The 15,776-nt window shown below is 46.8% G+C and overlaps 1 protein-coding gene and 2 long non-coding RNA genes across 11 annotated transcripts in view, besides 2 other annotated features; 1 reads left to right on the top strand and 2 right to left on the bottom strand.

Annotated features, from left to right (window-relative positions):
- SEZ6L (seizure related 6 homolog like) overlaps nt 1-3,417 on the bottom strand; it is a 214,135-nt gene extending 210,718 nt beyond the window's left edge. For all 6 annotated transcript variants that reach the window (NM_021115.5, NM_001184773.2, NM_001184774.2 and 3 more), the window contains exon 1: nt 3,116-3,417. In NM_021115.5, coding sequence (NP_066938.2) covers nt 3,116-3,209 — 94 coding nt within the window. In that variant the 5' untranslated portion in view covers nt 3,210-3,417. The remainder of the gene's footprint in view (nt 1-3,115) is intronic.
- Nucleotides 1,499-2,438: an enhancer, noted in NCBI's record as "H3K4me1 hESC enhancer chr22:26566407-26567346 (GRCh37/hg19 assembly coordinates)". NCBI's record gives its function as "activates a minimal SCP1, AML or CMV promoter by ChIP-STARR-seq in naive H9 embryonic stem cells {active_cell/tissue: H9 hESC(naive)}" and the evidence as "EXISTENCE:reporter gene assay evidence [ECO:0000049][PMID:30033119]".
- Nucleotides 3,265-3,394: a silencer, noted in NCBI's record as "silent region_13565". NCBI's record gives its function as "represses an Ori minimal core promoter by ATAC-STARR-seq in GM12878 lymphoblastoid cells {active_cell/tissue: GM12878}" and the evidence as "EXISTENCE:reporter gene assay evidence [ECO:0000049][PMID:35858748]".
- On the top strand, nt 3,645-10,976 carry LOC105372971 (uncharacterized). 3 transcript variants are annotated; one of them, NR_188585.1, is made up of 6 exons: nt 3,645-3,876; nt 5,970-6,098; nt 8,359-8,828; nt 9,593-9,734; nt 10,597-10,650; nt 10,737-10,976. It is a non-coding gene; the product is annotated as an uncharacterized LOC105372971 (long non-coding RNA). The 3 variants fall into 3 exon arrangements; NR_188586.1 differs by having other exon boundaries at nt 5,950-6,098; NR_188587.1 differs by lacking the exon at nt 3,645-3,876 and adding an exon at nt 4,100-4,230 and having other exon boundaries at nt 9,593-10,130.
- LINC02559 (long intergenic non-protein coding RNA 2559) overlaps nt 8,576-15,776 on the bottom strand; it is a 12,153-nt gene continuing 4,952 nt past the window's right edge. For both annotated transcript variants that reach the window (XR_938105.2, XR_938103.2), the window contains exons 2-3: nt 11,000-11,044; nt 8,576-8,717 (exon numbers count right to left, since the gene is read on the bottom strand). This is a non-coding gene — a long non-coding RNA (long intergenic non-protein coding RNA 2559). The remainder of the gene's footprint in view (nt 8,718-10,999; nt 11,045-15,776) is intronic.

Raw genomic sequence — 15,776 nt, 5'->3', positions numbered from 1 at the left:
GCAAAAATACAAAAAGGGCAGTTGGATTGACATTTTCCTTGGAGCATTCTCCGGGCTTCTTTTTACCTTTTCTTTCTCTTTTTCACTGCGTGTGTCAAGGGTGACCAATAATTTTTCTCTGAGAAACAGTAATAAAATGTAGTAATCAGAAAGAGGGAGGGGAGAGATGATAGCAAGGCCTCCAGGCTGAGAGGAGCTCCATTCTGCTGACCTTTGGTGTTGCACACACCTGGTTGTTCACAGGTCAGAATTCCCCTCTCTTCTGCCCTTAGTCGCCAGCTAGATCTTGGAGCGCCCCTAGTGGAGGTCTGCACAGTAGGTATATTGGATAAATTGTCTCTGGACAGAATAGGAGGGCCAGTAAATCGAGCTCATTTGAACAGCTTGCAGGAATGGACTTGTAAGCAAAAATAAGAAAACAAGCCACTCTGATCAGAAAATATCCTTTTGCCCTGGAAGGGGAAGGAAAGGAATGTAACATTATTTTCTTAATACCTAACTGAGCCATATGAACACAAGATGAATCCCTCAAGCTTAGATACGGTGGCCCCTGGCAGGAACGGGCAAAACTCTATGGAAAATAATGCCAATCCATAATGAAAATAGTCTTTAAGTGAATCTAACCACAACACACGTTAGAGACTGGGGAAGCAGCAAATTTGAGCCTTATTGAGCAATACTGAATTTGCCTTATTAATTCAAGAGAAAAAGAAAAGAAATTATTCTTAGGCTTTGCAGTCTTTGCATGTAGTTACAATTATTCCCCATGTGCATATCTGAGACAATAAGGAGGCTCTTCAAAAACAAGTTATACTTTATACTTATTCATGCCTTACAGCGAAATGGCCCAGAGAACCACGTGACCTGCATCAGAATGTAGCAACAAGTCCCTTTTGAGTATTTACAAATCCCCTCACTTCACCGCAAGCAGAAGAACTAGTTCGCAACAACGAGTTAGGTGAATGGTTCTCCATCTGACATTAGTGGATGTTGGGCTCTACATTAAAAATAGAATTTATTGTGGAAGGTCAATTGTCTCCAAATGCACCATCAGACTCGGCAATGCTCATTGGCCAGTATCACTCCCTCCTTATGACTCAGAGTCAGAACCACACACTTATTAATGAGCTTTCTGAAGTAGCACATCAATTGACTTTAATTTGGTGGTGACCTGAAGTCAATTTAAAAAATATGCTGGCTAGCCATGGTGTTGAGCAGTTGGAAAAATAGTATGAAATGTCTTAAAAATTAAAACACACACATGTCTCCCCCTGCTCTTACAATGTGTTTGCAGCCCGTGAAGGAAACAGAATAGGAAATCCTTGTCTTAGATGACAATTCAATACGTGCCATTAAGACAATTTTTTTTTCCCTGCAAGGTGGTGTATTGGAGAGTGGAGTTCTCAGAGGTAGAACTGCTTTAGAAAATCCAGTAAGCTGCTGGGTAGATTCAGGTTCTTTTTATATGTGTGTTAGTCACAACACAGATTCAAAAGGGGGTGGGGGAGGGAGAGCTGGACTCAGTTCAAGGCCACCAAGCCATTGTTAGAAAGAGACAGCTAATTAAGAAAGGCCATGCTGTGGTGGAAACGATTTGTTTAAACCAAATCTCTTTCCCTATCTTTCCCAGAGAAACTGTCCAGACCTGGTGTAAATTGTGGACATTATTGCCCCATAAAAAAGGGGTGGGGGTTCTTCAATGATATGCTTTGTTAAACAAAAGGTGATGAACAATTTCCTTTGCTCTGCACTCTGGGCTCTACATTTAAAAAGACGGGGAGATGGGGGATAAAATGCCTGATTTATGCTGAGGGGGGCACTCCAGGCCACCGGGAAGGGTTGAAGGGAAAGGGACCCAGAGCCAGGGCCCATGGAGCTGAGAGCTGTCCAGGGCCTTTGGTGCTGAAAGCAGGTGCGCGCGCTGGGGGTCCAGAACTCCCCGGAGAAGAACACCGCCTGTCCCCCAACTCCGAGTCAAGACGGTGCAAATGACAGAGGCGGAGCCCCAGATAAGCATAGTGCCTGCGCTCCCTCTGTCTTCAGCCTGGGCAGACCCTGCAGCTGTCTGCTTTTTTACACGTGAGGAGCGCATTTCTGGGACCTTGCAAGAAGGCCGGGTCCTGTGGCCAACTAACCCTCCCATTGATTTTCGGGTCTCCTAGGTGCCTGAGAAAACCCCCGAAGCTCTGAGGGTTAGCTTTGGGTGAGTTAGGCGTTGCACCCCTCTCTCTATCTGGCCCTCTCCCCCACCCATAACTTTTCCTGGGGTACCTTACCGGGGTGGAGAGAGGGTATGGTTCCAGGTCTGAGAAAGAGGAGCTGTCATTCTCTGCTAAATTTGGGCCCCTCTTCCCCTTCAACAAACACGTGGTAGATGAAACTAACACCCCTCACCCCCCATTCCTAACAGTGATCAGAGATGCTAGGCAGTAGGGGAGAGAGTAGAGGGGAGCCCGTTCAGGTTCCCAACTGCTAACTAACATCTCTTCTCCCTCCCCTACCAAGTTCTCAGAGCCCTCAGCCCCCTCCACCGGCCTCTAGCGAAAGCCACACCCAAGTCCGGTATCCTGACGCTTGGCTGAGATCGATCCAGGAACACAGACCCTCGGGGTAGCCTGAACCAAAGGAGTCAAGGGTTTCTGTGGTGTCGGGGGGAGCGGCAAATGCACTGTTTGAGTCTAGTCCTCAGTTGCAGGGTGGGTCAGCTTCTCACCCCCCTTCCTGTCCTCTCCCGGAGAGGAAGATAATTATCTGGCACCTAGCCCCGGGTGCGGTTGCAGAGAAGCGCCGGGAATTTGGGGTTTGGAGGCGACCCCACTCCAAGGAGAACCTCTTTGGCTGCAAAGGAGAATCAGCCCCGCAGCCGGGGAAGACCGAAAGGGAGCCCGCAGCCGAAGCAGGGAAGCGCCCGAGTCCTTCAACACATCCCCGCCTCCACACTCCCATCAGCCCGGGCCAAGGGGACGTGCGGTTCCTAGCCCCGATTTTGGACAGCCACCACCGCTTCCCATCCCGGCGGGTGGTGCCTGAGTCGCCCTGGTCAGCCCCGACCCCTGGCTGCCCCGCTCTCCCGGCAACTTTGCCCCCTGCCCGCCCCGCCCCTCGGGGCGCTTACCTCGCTCCAGCGCTGCCGCCGGGCTCCCCAGGAGCAGAGCGAGGAACAGCGAGATCCCGCGGAGTCCCGCGGCGGGCGGCCGGGCCGCGGGCATCGTGGCTGCAGGGGGCGCGGAGCCGCTGGCTGTGGGGCGGGCGGACGGCGAGGGAGCTGGGGAAGGAGGGCGGCGGTGAGCGAGAAAGGGGAAGCGGGAGCGAGGGAGGAGGCCGCGGGCCGGGGCAGCTTCCGGAGCCCCCTGGGCGGACGCGCGCTCAGCCCCGCGGTCGCTCTGGCCGAGCTGCGCCGGGCGCGGGCGGGCGAGTGAGGAGGAGCCGGCGAGCGAGCGAACGAGCGTGGAGCGAGCGGGAGGAGGGAGGGGGCTGGGGCCGAGTCTGTGCCGAGCGAGTGCAGGGAGGGAGGGGGCGGGCGAGCGGGCAGTGAGCTGGAGGGGCCGCGGCGGCGCCGGGGGTGCCAGCCGCCTCCTCTGGCCGCCGGCCCGTCGGCCCTGCAAAGTTTAACGCCAATTCCCCTTGCGTCCTGGGAGCCGAGCGTTTTCTCTCCCTGCTGACGCTCCCAGCAGCTCTGCCTGGCCAGGCCAGGCTGGAGAGCACCCGGACCATTTTCCAGACGGTGAGATGGAGCCCTGGAAACCGAGCTTATGAGCAGCCCGGAGCTTTCCATTGCCTGCCCAGCCTTCCAGATACATCCCAGTTCCAGTTCTTTCCAGAGCCCTCTGGGATCCAGCCAGCCTGCTTCCCCGCCAGGGCCTCACTGCTTCCAAAGTGAGTCCCCATAACCTAGAAAGTCTGTAACTCTGTGGATCTGGTGACAGCTGTGAATCTACTAGAACACTACACATAGCCACAAAATCGTGCATCTAACACGAGGGGGTCTGGACCCCTCTGAAGCCCAATCACGAACTCTAAATTAAGATCCACCTCCACTTTTTAATCTGAGCCCTGTCTCCCATAACCCCACTGCCGGCAGGGCACTAGCGCTGCGAGGCTTCCTCTCAGGTCAGCCGCTTGCCTCTTCCTGTACCCGCTTCCCTATCTGAGCAGGACTACAAGGCCCACCTCTGCAGCATTCTTGCCCAGGCCTGATTCTCAAGCAAAGTCTTTTCTCCACAAATAGAGGTAGTGAGGGACAATCAATGAGGGAGATAAACAGATACTTGGGGACAGACATTGGCAGAGAGCTAGGTGGGGACAAGCTTATGCACAGTCCTGGAGACTGACTGTCTCTCCCTGCGTAGCCTTGGCAGACCGGTCAGGCTTTACAGGCCTCTCACCCAATTTAGAAGCTGTCCTCCTCCCCCTACCCTACCTTGCCATACTATCTACACACTGCAGCCTGAACAGGCAGAGGGAGCAGATGGAGAGAAGGTTGCAGGCAGCAACAGGGGGAGGAATATGTCTTTAGCAGCGTGGTGGAGCCGGGAGTCCCTAGAAAGAATGGGTGGGGGAGGTGAACACTGGATGGAGGAGGGAAGGAGAAGCACTCTGGCCCAGGGTTTCAGAAGACGCTCCACACCCAGAGCTTCCCCATTTACTCACTCAAACAATGCTCTTTTACAGGCCACTGACTATAGGCCCAGACCTGCCTCAGGCTTTGGGGGACAGAGAGCCCCCCCATAAAATCCTATCTTCAGCTGCAAGAGGTTTCCATTCCTGGCAGTAAACCCAACTGGCTTTTATAAAGAAGGTGGCTGAGGCAGGGATGCAGGAGTGCTGATTTCTCCTTTGGAGAAGATGAAGCACTCCATGCTTTACTGTATGAGGCTGCCAGCTCTCTGTGGAATGACCTTGCCTGTTTGTGGCTATACGCTCAGGCTCTGTATAGTATAATGCAGGCATGCAGCGGGTGCTCAGTGAGACTTGTTCAATGGAAACCTAAAGAAGCAAGGAAGATGGAGGAGGAGGGGAAAGGGAAGAAAGCGAGCGAGAGAAAAACGAAGAGGTAGTTTAGCTCCATACTTGGAGGCAAGGAAACTATTTTTAATTCCTAGGTTCAGGGGTACTTGTGCAGGTTTGTTATGTGTGCAAACTTGTGTCATGGGAGTTTGTTGTACAGATGATTTCACCAACCAGGTATTAAGCCTGGTACTCAATAGTAATTTTTTTCTGATCCTCTCCCTCCTCCTGCCTTCCACCCTCTGGTAGGCCTCTGTGTGTGTTGTTCCCCTCTATGTGTCTGTGTGCTCTCATCATTTAGCTCCCACCTATAAGTGAGAACTTGTGATATTTGGTTTTCTGTTCCTGCATTAGTGTGCTAAGGATAATGGTCTCCAGCTCCATTCATGTTTTTGCAAAGAACATGATCTCATTCTTTTTTATGACTGCATAGTATTCCATGGTGTATATGTACCGTATATATGCTCATTCATTGATGAGCATTTAGGTTGATTCCATGTCTTTGCTCTTGTGAATAGTGCTGCAATGAACATACATGGGCATGTGTCTTTATAATAGAACAATTTATATTCCTTTGGGTATATACCCAGTAATGTCAGACAACCTACAGAATGGGAGAAAAATTTTACAAACTATGCATCTGCAAAAGTCTAATATCCAGCATCTATAAGGAACTTAAACAAATTTACAGGAAAAAAACCAAACAACCCAACTGAGAAGGAAACTATTGTGTAAAGAATCCACTGTTTGCCAGGTGCTGTCCCACACCGAGCATGGTCTCTCATTTCAATTTCATAATCTTCCTGAAAACGAGGTGTGGTTATTGCCATCTGAAAGATAAGTATCTGATTTTTTATGGGGGGTCCCAACCCAGCCAAGGTCACTCAGTCAGGAAGCGGTGGGATTTGGCAGATTCAAGGGCAGCCCTGACTACAGAGCCAGAACCCATTTCACCTTCACAGCCTACTTCCCAGAAATTTGGTGGCTGCCTCTGTGCTATGATTTGGTTGCTACCTGCTGAAGCTTCAACCTCTCATCACTACCAGAAGGACCACATCACTAAAAGTCCATCAATGGGGTTACTCACTTTGGTAAGTACATTGAACTTCTAGATCATTGCTTGCATGCAGGTGTCTTATGTGGAAGAAGTGACACTGTAAACCATTAACCCATTGAACATATGGACCGTGATTTACTCATTCCATTTGCTGGCTAAAACAAGGCACAGAGAAAAGTCTTGAGGAAATGAGACACAGACCTGATTATCTGAGATTGTGATGTTGGGAACATAAAGTGATTATTTAGGAGCAGTATCAAGACTATTTTTGGAAGAAGAAATAGCATAATAGAAATAGAATTCTGAAAGGGACTAGAACAGTTTGCAGATGAAAATCTGCAATCACAATTTTGATAGCCATTTTACAGATGAGGAAACTGAGGGCCAGGGAGGCAAAGTAACTTGCTCGATATCACACACTTGGTTTACCTTTTACCTTTTACTGTTTCCATGGCAGTGATGTTGTGGTCTGTCTAATAGGGCACATCCTGCCTAGATTCTGGTGTCAGGGTGAGCTTCCTCCTACCCAATGCCACCTGGGGAGATAATTTTAGCTTCTCTGCTGATTAGATGATGTGTGCCTACAATTCTATTCACCTTATATTTTGCCATGTGATAAACAGAGCATCAGCTCTTATGCGGTTAAAATTAGTACAGTGGTGACAAAGGGTTATATCCTAGCCTTGCCTCTTCCTTATAGGATGACAAGGGCAAGTTACTTAACCTCTCTGAGCTTTATTTTCCTCTTCTGAGAAGTAGGGATAAAAATAACACTTATCACATGGAGTGATTGACATAAATGGATAATAATATCCTCGTGGATGAGGGGATATTATGGCACTTATTTCCTAGGGTTATAGAGAAGATCCCATGAACTGATGGACTAAAGGCTAATGCTGTGTGATATTAAGTGAGTCACCAGTCTCTCTGGGACTCTGTTTCCTTATTCATCTACCCACCTATCTACACACCCACCTATTTGTCCATGTATTTACTAGTCCATGCATCCATCCAGCAATTTATCTATCCCTCTACCTACCCTTCCTTCTTTCCTCCCTTTCTGTCTTCTTTTCTTCCTTCCCTCCTCCCTTCCATTCATCCATTCATCTACCCATCCATCCACTCAACCACCCACCCACTCACCCATCTGTCCATCTATCTACAAATACTGTTTGAGCATTTACTATTTATTGAATGGCTACCACGTGGCAAGCAGTGCTGAGTGCTGTGGATGCAACAGACTCTGTCTCTGGCTCTCCAGGGCTGACAGTCTAGTGAAGTCTGGCAACACAAGGGCCCAAACCACTTCCAAAATTAATGCTGTATGCCAGGGGAGGCAGTTTAGCAGAGCAGTTAAAAGCCTGGACCTTCAAACCCAACAAGCCTCAATTTAAATGGTTTATCTGCCACTAACTAGCAGTGGTGTGATTTTGAACAACTGAATTAACCTTCCAGTAATCATTTCAACAAAAGGCTATCATTTAGCAATCAATGACACAATCATTATAAAGCACTTAGGATAGTGCATATGTCAGGCACTGTTCTGGGCACTGATAATACACAGTGAACAAGACAAAGTTCTTGCTCTCTAGAGCTTATTTTGTACAGATGAGAAATAGACCATAAAGTCATTAATAAATAGGAATTTCAGAGAGCTTTAATTCTATGAGGAAGATAAAGCAAGGTGATTTGAGAGTAAAAGAGGCAAATTCTTTTTGAATGATCAGGGATGGGTTCCTAGAATAGGAGACATTTAAGTAGAGAAAGGAATGATGAGACAGACACCAAGCGCAGATTGCAGCACATTCCTGGTGGAGAACACAGCAAGTGCAAGGTCCTGAGGCTAAAACAGCATCATTGCAATTAATGGAAGTCATTGTCGTCATGTGTCTGTGATCCCATTTCTTTGTCTACTCAGATTATGATTAATCAGGGGCTTGATTTTGAGGTCATCAGACAGCCTATGCTCAGTGACTACTTTCTCCATCAATGCACATTTATTCACACCCCCACCCTGCCAGACCTTGCATCATGTATCCCCCTTAGGAACACCTGGTTGATGGAAAGATTTTAATCACTGAGAGAAAAAAAGAGAAAAATCTTTTGTCTTGGGGTAAAAATGAAATACAAAAAAAAGTCATCTTAAAAGATAAGAAGAAAATGAAAAGAAACAAAAAAGTCCCAGCAATAGTATGTCTCAGTGGACAAACCCACCGTGGATCTTTCAAGGGAAGGCAGAGTATCCAACCAGTGTCTCCATGATCTATTTTCAATTTGGTCTTTGTAACTTGCAGATGGGCCTGTGCAGCGTCATTCAGGAAGCCCGTGGTACTCACATCACTCTGGCCAGACGCTAACAAGAAAATGATCCACTGTGACGCAGCCGACCCCATCCAGTGCATCCACATTACCTGGAAAGAAGCAATTATGCCCCTTTGGTTTCCTTGGAAATGCTTGGTCTGTCTCTACCATCCGCCCTGGCTCTTGAGAAATACTCATGCACGGTAGAGCTTTGACAGGGAGACAGTGTGTTTATTTTCCAACTGAAAGTTTACAGAATACAAAGTGAGCCTGTAAGATGGTGGCCACTCTCCAGAGGCTTGTTGGTCAGACAGGAAAGAAAACCAGTGCACCATCGGGAACGTGGAGGAGGCTGAAAGAGAGGGACAAACATATTGGATTGGATTGGGCCCCCACAGTCAAGTTCCTGCAAACCAAGCTGGGAGATTTTCCTGACTAAGGGTTATGTTCTTGGGCCTCAAAGGTGAGAAGAAAAATCAATTAAAGATACTGTGTATATTTATACACTCTTTTGGCATTATAAACTGTAACACATACATTTTTCAGTCCATAAAGAACAGCCTGCATCAGCACAGCAGCACACATCAGCACAGCAGCACACATCTATGAGTTATTCTAAGACTTTTGTGTTTGGGGACCCCATGAGTTCATGTACCCTCTGGAATCAGCAGGTTTATTTGGAATCAGACATATCAGAACTCTGTCCTATGTGACTAACTTTTAAATGTGGATTTACTTGTCTGTATAAGGTGAAGACTATTAATAACTACTTCCTAGGGTTATTATGGAAGTAAAAGAGGGGATGCATGTTCACTGCTGAACTGATTGTCCAGCCTGTAGTAGGTGCTCAATAAACAGGAGCAATGATCATGCATTATATAAATTGTATATGAAAAATAGAACCCAAATGCTAGAAAAATCTCTTCTCTCATAGGGTTTATTATGTGTATTTATGGGTGTCTATACCCAGAGGAAAGCCCAGCTGGGGTTAAGGGTGCAGAATAAGTAAAACTTCCAAACCCATCAGGGGCTTGGTCAATCTGACCCATTTTTTGTGTGAGCCTCCTCACTCGAAATTAACTAAGGCAGCACTGCTCTGTTCAATTACAGGAACATTCTCCAGCCCTTTGACTTCCTCTCAAATCTCACCACTCTCTTAGTATGGAATATTGAAAAGGCCATACTGGGTCAGGTCCCTACTGATCAATAGCCTGTCCTTTCTCTCAGCTCCCCAGCCAACGCCCAGCTTCTGTGCCGAGGAGGATACAGGAGGACAGACACAGCCTCTGTGTCAGGAGGAGGGAAGAAGGACTAATGTCTGTGGACACTCTGAGGCTCACAGGGAGAAGCCACACACTCGCAGCACCAGGTCTGTGGTTTTTCATGACCCTACACTGTCCCCTAGAAGGAAGTACCACCCAGCAGAAACAGAAGCCAAGGAATTTCCCCATAGAGATCATGGCATGGGCTTGAGTTCAAGAACTCAATGGACAGCGGGCAGAAATTGGAAAGCCCAGAGCCTCCACCACTAACTCCTGTGTGACTTCTGTAAGTCCCTTGCCCTTAATTCACCCATATGAAAAATTAGGAAAAATGATCTCTCACTTCTGAAATTCAATAATTCTATGATGTCAGCAACTGGACCCAAGAGATGATGAGTTCTGCTACAGTTGTCTTGATGAAAGTAAAAGCTGACATTTTTTTAAGCAGCTGCTTAGAGTTTACCACTTGAGATTTCATGTAATCCTTACAACCACTCTAGAAGGTTAGTATTATTATAACCCAAACTCCTACCTTATCCTGTAGGACCCTTCTGATCTGGTCTCTCCTCCCTGTTTGGCCTTATCTTGTACCTCCTTTTATAAAACCCCAGCTGCAAGGATTCTAATCTTAGATCTGTCTAGGACTTTCCTCTTGCCGTGTCCCTGCCTGGAAGGCCTTTCCTTCTGATATATAAGCAGCTGGCTCTTCCTCCTCTTTCTGTGGCCAGCTAGACTGGCATCTCATCAGAGAGAACAACCTTGGCTTTAAATCTTTCTTAGCCTCTATCACTATCTACAATTATGTCTCTTATTTATGTGTTTGCAGGTATATTATCTCTGTTCTCCCACTAGACTTTAAGCTCAGTGGATGCCAGGACCCTTAGAACAAAGCACATAGCAAGTTTTCAGTGAAGCCTTGTTAACTTTCAAATGAAGGAATAAACGAATGACTATATTTCCACTTCGCAGATGAGTAAACAGAGGCTTGGAGGGGTGATGAAATTTGCCAACAGTCATCAATCGGTAAGTGTGACAGAAGTAGGACTGGAACCCAGGGCTGTCTGACCTCTGGCTTGAGTCTATAACCGCTTGGCCATACTGCCTTTCAGTTCCAGGAACAGGTGATGCTTCCCGGCAGTGAGACTCGAAACCAGCGGGAGTTCCCAGCCAGAGACATGATCTAAGTGCCAATGGCTGAATGTCTGTGAGCATTTCAAGTCATTTTAAGAATAGGCAACATTAGCGGCACCATTAAAGCCTGCTGTTCCTCCAGCCCATCACTGCCATCCCCACCTATTAAAATAATGGCATGAAAAATAAACAGCCTTTATGTACAATTTTATACAGTGCACGCATTGTTTGTTTCTCTTACTGTTTCCATGGCAGTGACGTTTGTTCTCAGGATAACTTCAGGTTTCTGCATGATGGAAGGGAATGGAATAAAATTACTTGAGAGGAAATTGCCAAGCACAGACGTTTTCTTCTTCAGATGCCCCACACTCCAGCACTTAACAGCAGCCACACCCTGAAGTCTTAAGCACAGGATAAAGGCTTCCCCTTAACCTACAGCCTTCCATGGCTCCCCAGTTCCCATAATATGAACCCCACAGATCTAAGCCTGGCTGTAAGACCTTTGCTACCTGGATTCCTCTCCTACCCTTTCACCCTTTGCTATATAGTCCTGCCTATAGGCAACTTCCCTCCTCATTTTGTCCCTTCTCCCTAGAAGTTTTTCACCAACCCACATTTGTTCATGCTGTTCAACCCTGAACAGCATGGGCTATCCACCTTCCCCCTACCTCTCTACTAGAGAAGACTGCTACTCATTTTTCCACGTTGTGCTTTAGGTGTGACCCTGCACCCACTTCTTTCCAACGTATTCCTGCATTTGGGTGATGTTTCTTTCCTCACCGCTCCTGTGGCCTTCTCAAGCACTGTGTTTACTCACTGTATGGCCACCCAGACTTCAAGCTGCTTGAGGACAGGAACAGTGCTTATTCAGTGGCTAACAATGTTCCAGGAACATAGTAGATGCTTAACAAATGTTTCTGGAACCAAATTTGAAAAAAATTAATAATCCAGTGGTCTGTGTGGCTGCCTAAGGAAATGGTGTCTGGGTATATCTCCTTCTTTAGGAATAAATATGGAAGATTAAATCAAAGCCCTAGACAGTGCTTCTCAACTTTGGTTGCATCTTGGAATCATCCATGGAGCTTTTAGAAATTCGGATGCCCAGGTTGCACCCTGAGTTAATTATGTGAGATTCTCTGGGTGTGGGCCCAGGATCTGTATTTTTTTAAAGTTCCAAGGTGATTCCGGTGTGCAGCTGGGACTAAGAACCACTGCACAGAAAGTTCCTGTTCAGAACCATAACCATGGCTTTGCATGAAAGTTTCAGAGACCAGGAATCTCCTCAGGGGCTGAGTTCACCCCAGAGTCCAAGGACCCAGAGCCAGGACAGAGCTAATCCCCAAACCTGGTTAGAGTGATAACAGCAGCATCGAATGTTGACTAAGCACCCCTTGTGTGCTTGGCACATGCCAGCATGCCTTCCGTAAACCACATCATGATCCTCACTTTAACCTGTGAAGTTGATATTATTCAGTTGAGAATGAAAGAGTGGTGGGATTGCTCAAGTTCACCTGTCCAGGCAATGGCAGAGATGGGGTTCGAACCCAGGAGAACCCAGGTTCACCTATATCCCAAATCCATGCCCTGGACCATTTCTTGAATGTAGTCAGGATAGGGCAGCAGGGAGGAGCTGGAGATGTTGGAGGAACTGTACCCTAGCCACCTGGGTCAAAGCCACTAACCCACTTCAGAGGCCCCACAGTTCTACCTGCTTCTCTCCAATGAGTTACAATCCCCTACCTCCTAGTGCACTGCTTTTCTGTTCTCTCTCCCTCCCTCCTTCCCTCTACTTCCTCTCCTTCTTCTTCCTCCATCTCCCCCTTTCCTTCTTCCTCTATCCCTCTTTCTCTTTTCTCTCTCTTTTCTTACCTCTTTCTACTTTCTCTCTCCCTCTTTGCTCTCTCCCCCTCCTTCCCTCTCTCCTCTTCTCTTTCCTCCCTCTCTCTTCCACTCTCTCTTACTTCCCTTCCTCCCTCTTTCCTCTCTCTTCCCCTCTCTCTTCTCTCTTCCTCTGTCTGTCTCTCACCTCTCTCTCCCTTTCTTTATCTCTCTGTCTCCTCTCTCCCCCTCTTTCTCTTTCTTCTCTCTCCACCATCTCTTTTTTCTCTCTCTCTTCCTCCTATTTCTCCTTTCTCTTCCTCTCTCTTCTCCCCTCCTTCCTCTTTCTCTGTCTCACTTTCCTCTCCCTCTCCTCCCTCTCTTTCCTCTTTCTCTTCCTCTCCCCACTTTTCTCTTTCCCTCTCTCTCTCCCCACCTGCCCCCATCTCTGTTGGATGTCCCTAATTAGAGCAGTCTGGGTCAGGGTCTGGTGATCTGAAGGCCCAACAACTTCTGAGGCCTCAGCCTTAGCAGTTCCCAGGACCTGAAGGAGAAGGTGCTCTGCATGGGGCCTCTGAGATGCAGCAGCCTCGGTGTGACAGCTTGGGATTGGAGGGTGAGCACTGACGCTCCCCACACACCCAGAGCTGACTTGGCATCTGAATGGCGGCTCCTTCGAGCTCGTTTTCCAGATGATATTTATTGCGTACTTATTAAGTGTCAGATCCTGTTCCCACAACAACCCTATAAACCGAATCACCTGCAAAATGGAATTTGGAGACATGAACAAGAGAACACACAACTCTATTATCCAGGTTTTGCTCGAATCTCTGCAAGGTCTTCCCTGAACAAGGAGTTTAAAATTGCGATGCCTCTTCATCTGCCCCCAGCTCCTGTTCCATGTTCTCTCCGTCCTCCTGCGCTGTTTTATTTCCCCATTGCACGTCTCAGCATCTGAATATTATATTGTTACTTATTTGCGCTGTTTATGTCTGCTTCTTCCAACTAGAATGTCAGTTGCATGAGGGCGGTGTTTTTTTTTAAATCTGTTTCATTTGTTGCTTTATTCTTAGTACCTAGAAGTGCATTTGCTTATAGTTGGCAATCACAGTATGTTTGTCGAGTGAATACATAAAACTACATCTTCCTTATCTACTGAGTTATGTTGACTTCGTTTATGATTATGTTTACATCAGACATAAAATACATTCCAAGGTTAGAATAATGAGACAACAGAGTGCAGCAAGGCACCAGCGTATGACAGGGGCTTTGTTGACATGGGATGACCTTCATGACTATACATTTCTTAGGGTTCTTTGGTGGAAAGGAACTGAGGCTGACTACATTTAGCCAGAAAAGGGTTGGAGGGCTGTGTTAGAAAGATAGGAGTATCTCACAGACCAAAGGGAGTTGAACCTGGGAGAGCACCAAACCAGTTCTGAGGATCTAGGAAGCAGGGACCCTCCCCACTTCTTCGAAGTGGCTGCACTTTGGCATGAATCACTACTGAGGCTGAGTCATGTGCCCCCTTTTGGGAAAATGAGGATGGTGCCTTTTGATTGAAAAGCCCACCAAGCTTGCATCCAATCAGTGGTTTTCAAAACAAAATTAAGGTGCTGGTATCCAAATAAAGGTGAGTGTGGATTCTGGTCAGGGAAAACAATAGATGCCCATGGTATTCCACATATTAATTCCACTGGGCACCCCAATATGCCCAGGGGGACTATGTGACTGTAAAGGAGCCAGTTGAGGCCCCTGATGTTTGGGCTGTCCACATTCCTTCCTCTCAGCTATTTAAGGCATGTGAACTGTAAGGGAACAGCTTCAGATTGCATAAAAGGGCACGAGTGTCATGACAGATCTCTGGACTCAGGAGTTCCAGGTTCCATCTGCTCTACCCAAAATCTGCTCTGGAAGTAAGTCCATCAGCCCCTGAGAGGGCAGTATCCACCAACCCACTAATGCATTCAGAGCAAGAACCACAATCAGATAAATGGACTTGATTGATCATCATTGTTTTAATCAGTATAGGTTAGCGTATGCCGCTGTAACAAACTTCAAAACTGGAGTTGCTTAATGCAACAATGGTTTATTTTTCGCTCACAAAAGTCCTGTGGAATTTCAGCTGCTTTCCAGGACAACCGTCTTCCCTGCAGTGACTTGATAATCTGTCACTCCCATTCTGCAGTTTTGTTATCTCTAGTGATGGCTTTCTGACCACTGCTCTTTCCCTCTCTCCAAATGGAAATGCCATGTTTGTGTCCATAGTCTATTGGATAGAAGTAGTCACACAACCTCACTCTGGCCACAGAGAAAGCTGAGAAATGCAGGGGAGCAGGTGGAATGTGTGATGAGCTCTACAATCCCTTCTATGATGACATAAATACTCCCCAGCAACTAAAGCCATGACAATGGAACACTGGCCTTATAGGAGGCAGTACTGAAAAGCCAACAGGATGCCTCTTAAAGACATCTGGTGATTAGAAACCCAGAGACTATTTTATATTCTGTACTTGCCTGAGATATACCACCAACTAAGCAGTCTGTTGAGGATACAGGACTGGATATGGGAGATGGGGAGTCAACATTGGTTAAATGACTTGTTCCATGCCAGGCATAATCAACATTCCTCATTACTTCTTCAACATCCTCTTGAAAGCTGTGCTCATTTTACAAATGAGAAAACAGATTTAGAGAAATATAATGACTTGTATGAGGTCACATAGCTTATGAGTGGCACAGAGTGGAAGGCTACCTGAATTCAAAGTCATGTTTTCACTATGCCATGAAGCTCATTAAAGCCATGACAAGCATTGAGTTTTCTCTTTATTAGATGAAAATAATAATGATGATGTAAATAGTGATGAAGATGATGGTGGTGGTGTGGATGATGGTGGTGATGATGATGAAGATGGTAGCAACTCCTAATTATCAATATTTTACTACAAGCTGAAAAAACTGTAATCTCATTAATCCTTCCAAATACCTTATGGGGTAGGTTCTATCATTATCCCCATTTCACAGATGAGGAAACCGAGGCTCAGCTAGGTAAAACAGCACTTTTTCAATATCACCTAGGTAGTAAATAGCAGAGTTCAGACTTGAACTCAAAGTTGTCTGATTTCAAAGCCACTCCACCATACTGAAAAGAGAACAATTCAATTGGTTGTTTCATCCACATGCCTCCAATCACCCGGTTC

Source organism: Homo sapiens, chromosome 22 (assembly GCF_000001405.40).
Source record: "Homo sapiens chromosome 22, GRCh38.p14 Primary Assembly".
Taxonomy (NCBI): Eukaryota; Metazoa; Chordata; class Mammalia; order Primates; family Hominidae; genus Homo; species Homo sapiens.
The sequence above is the reverse complement of the archived record's forward strand: the minus strand, read 5'-3'. Positions and strand labels throughout refer to the sequence as shown.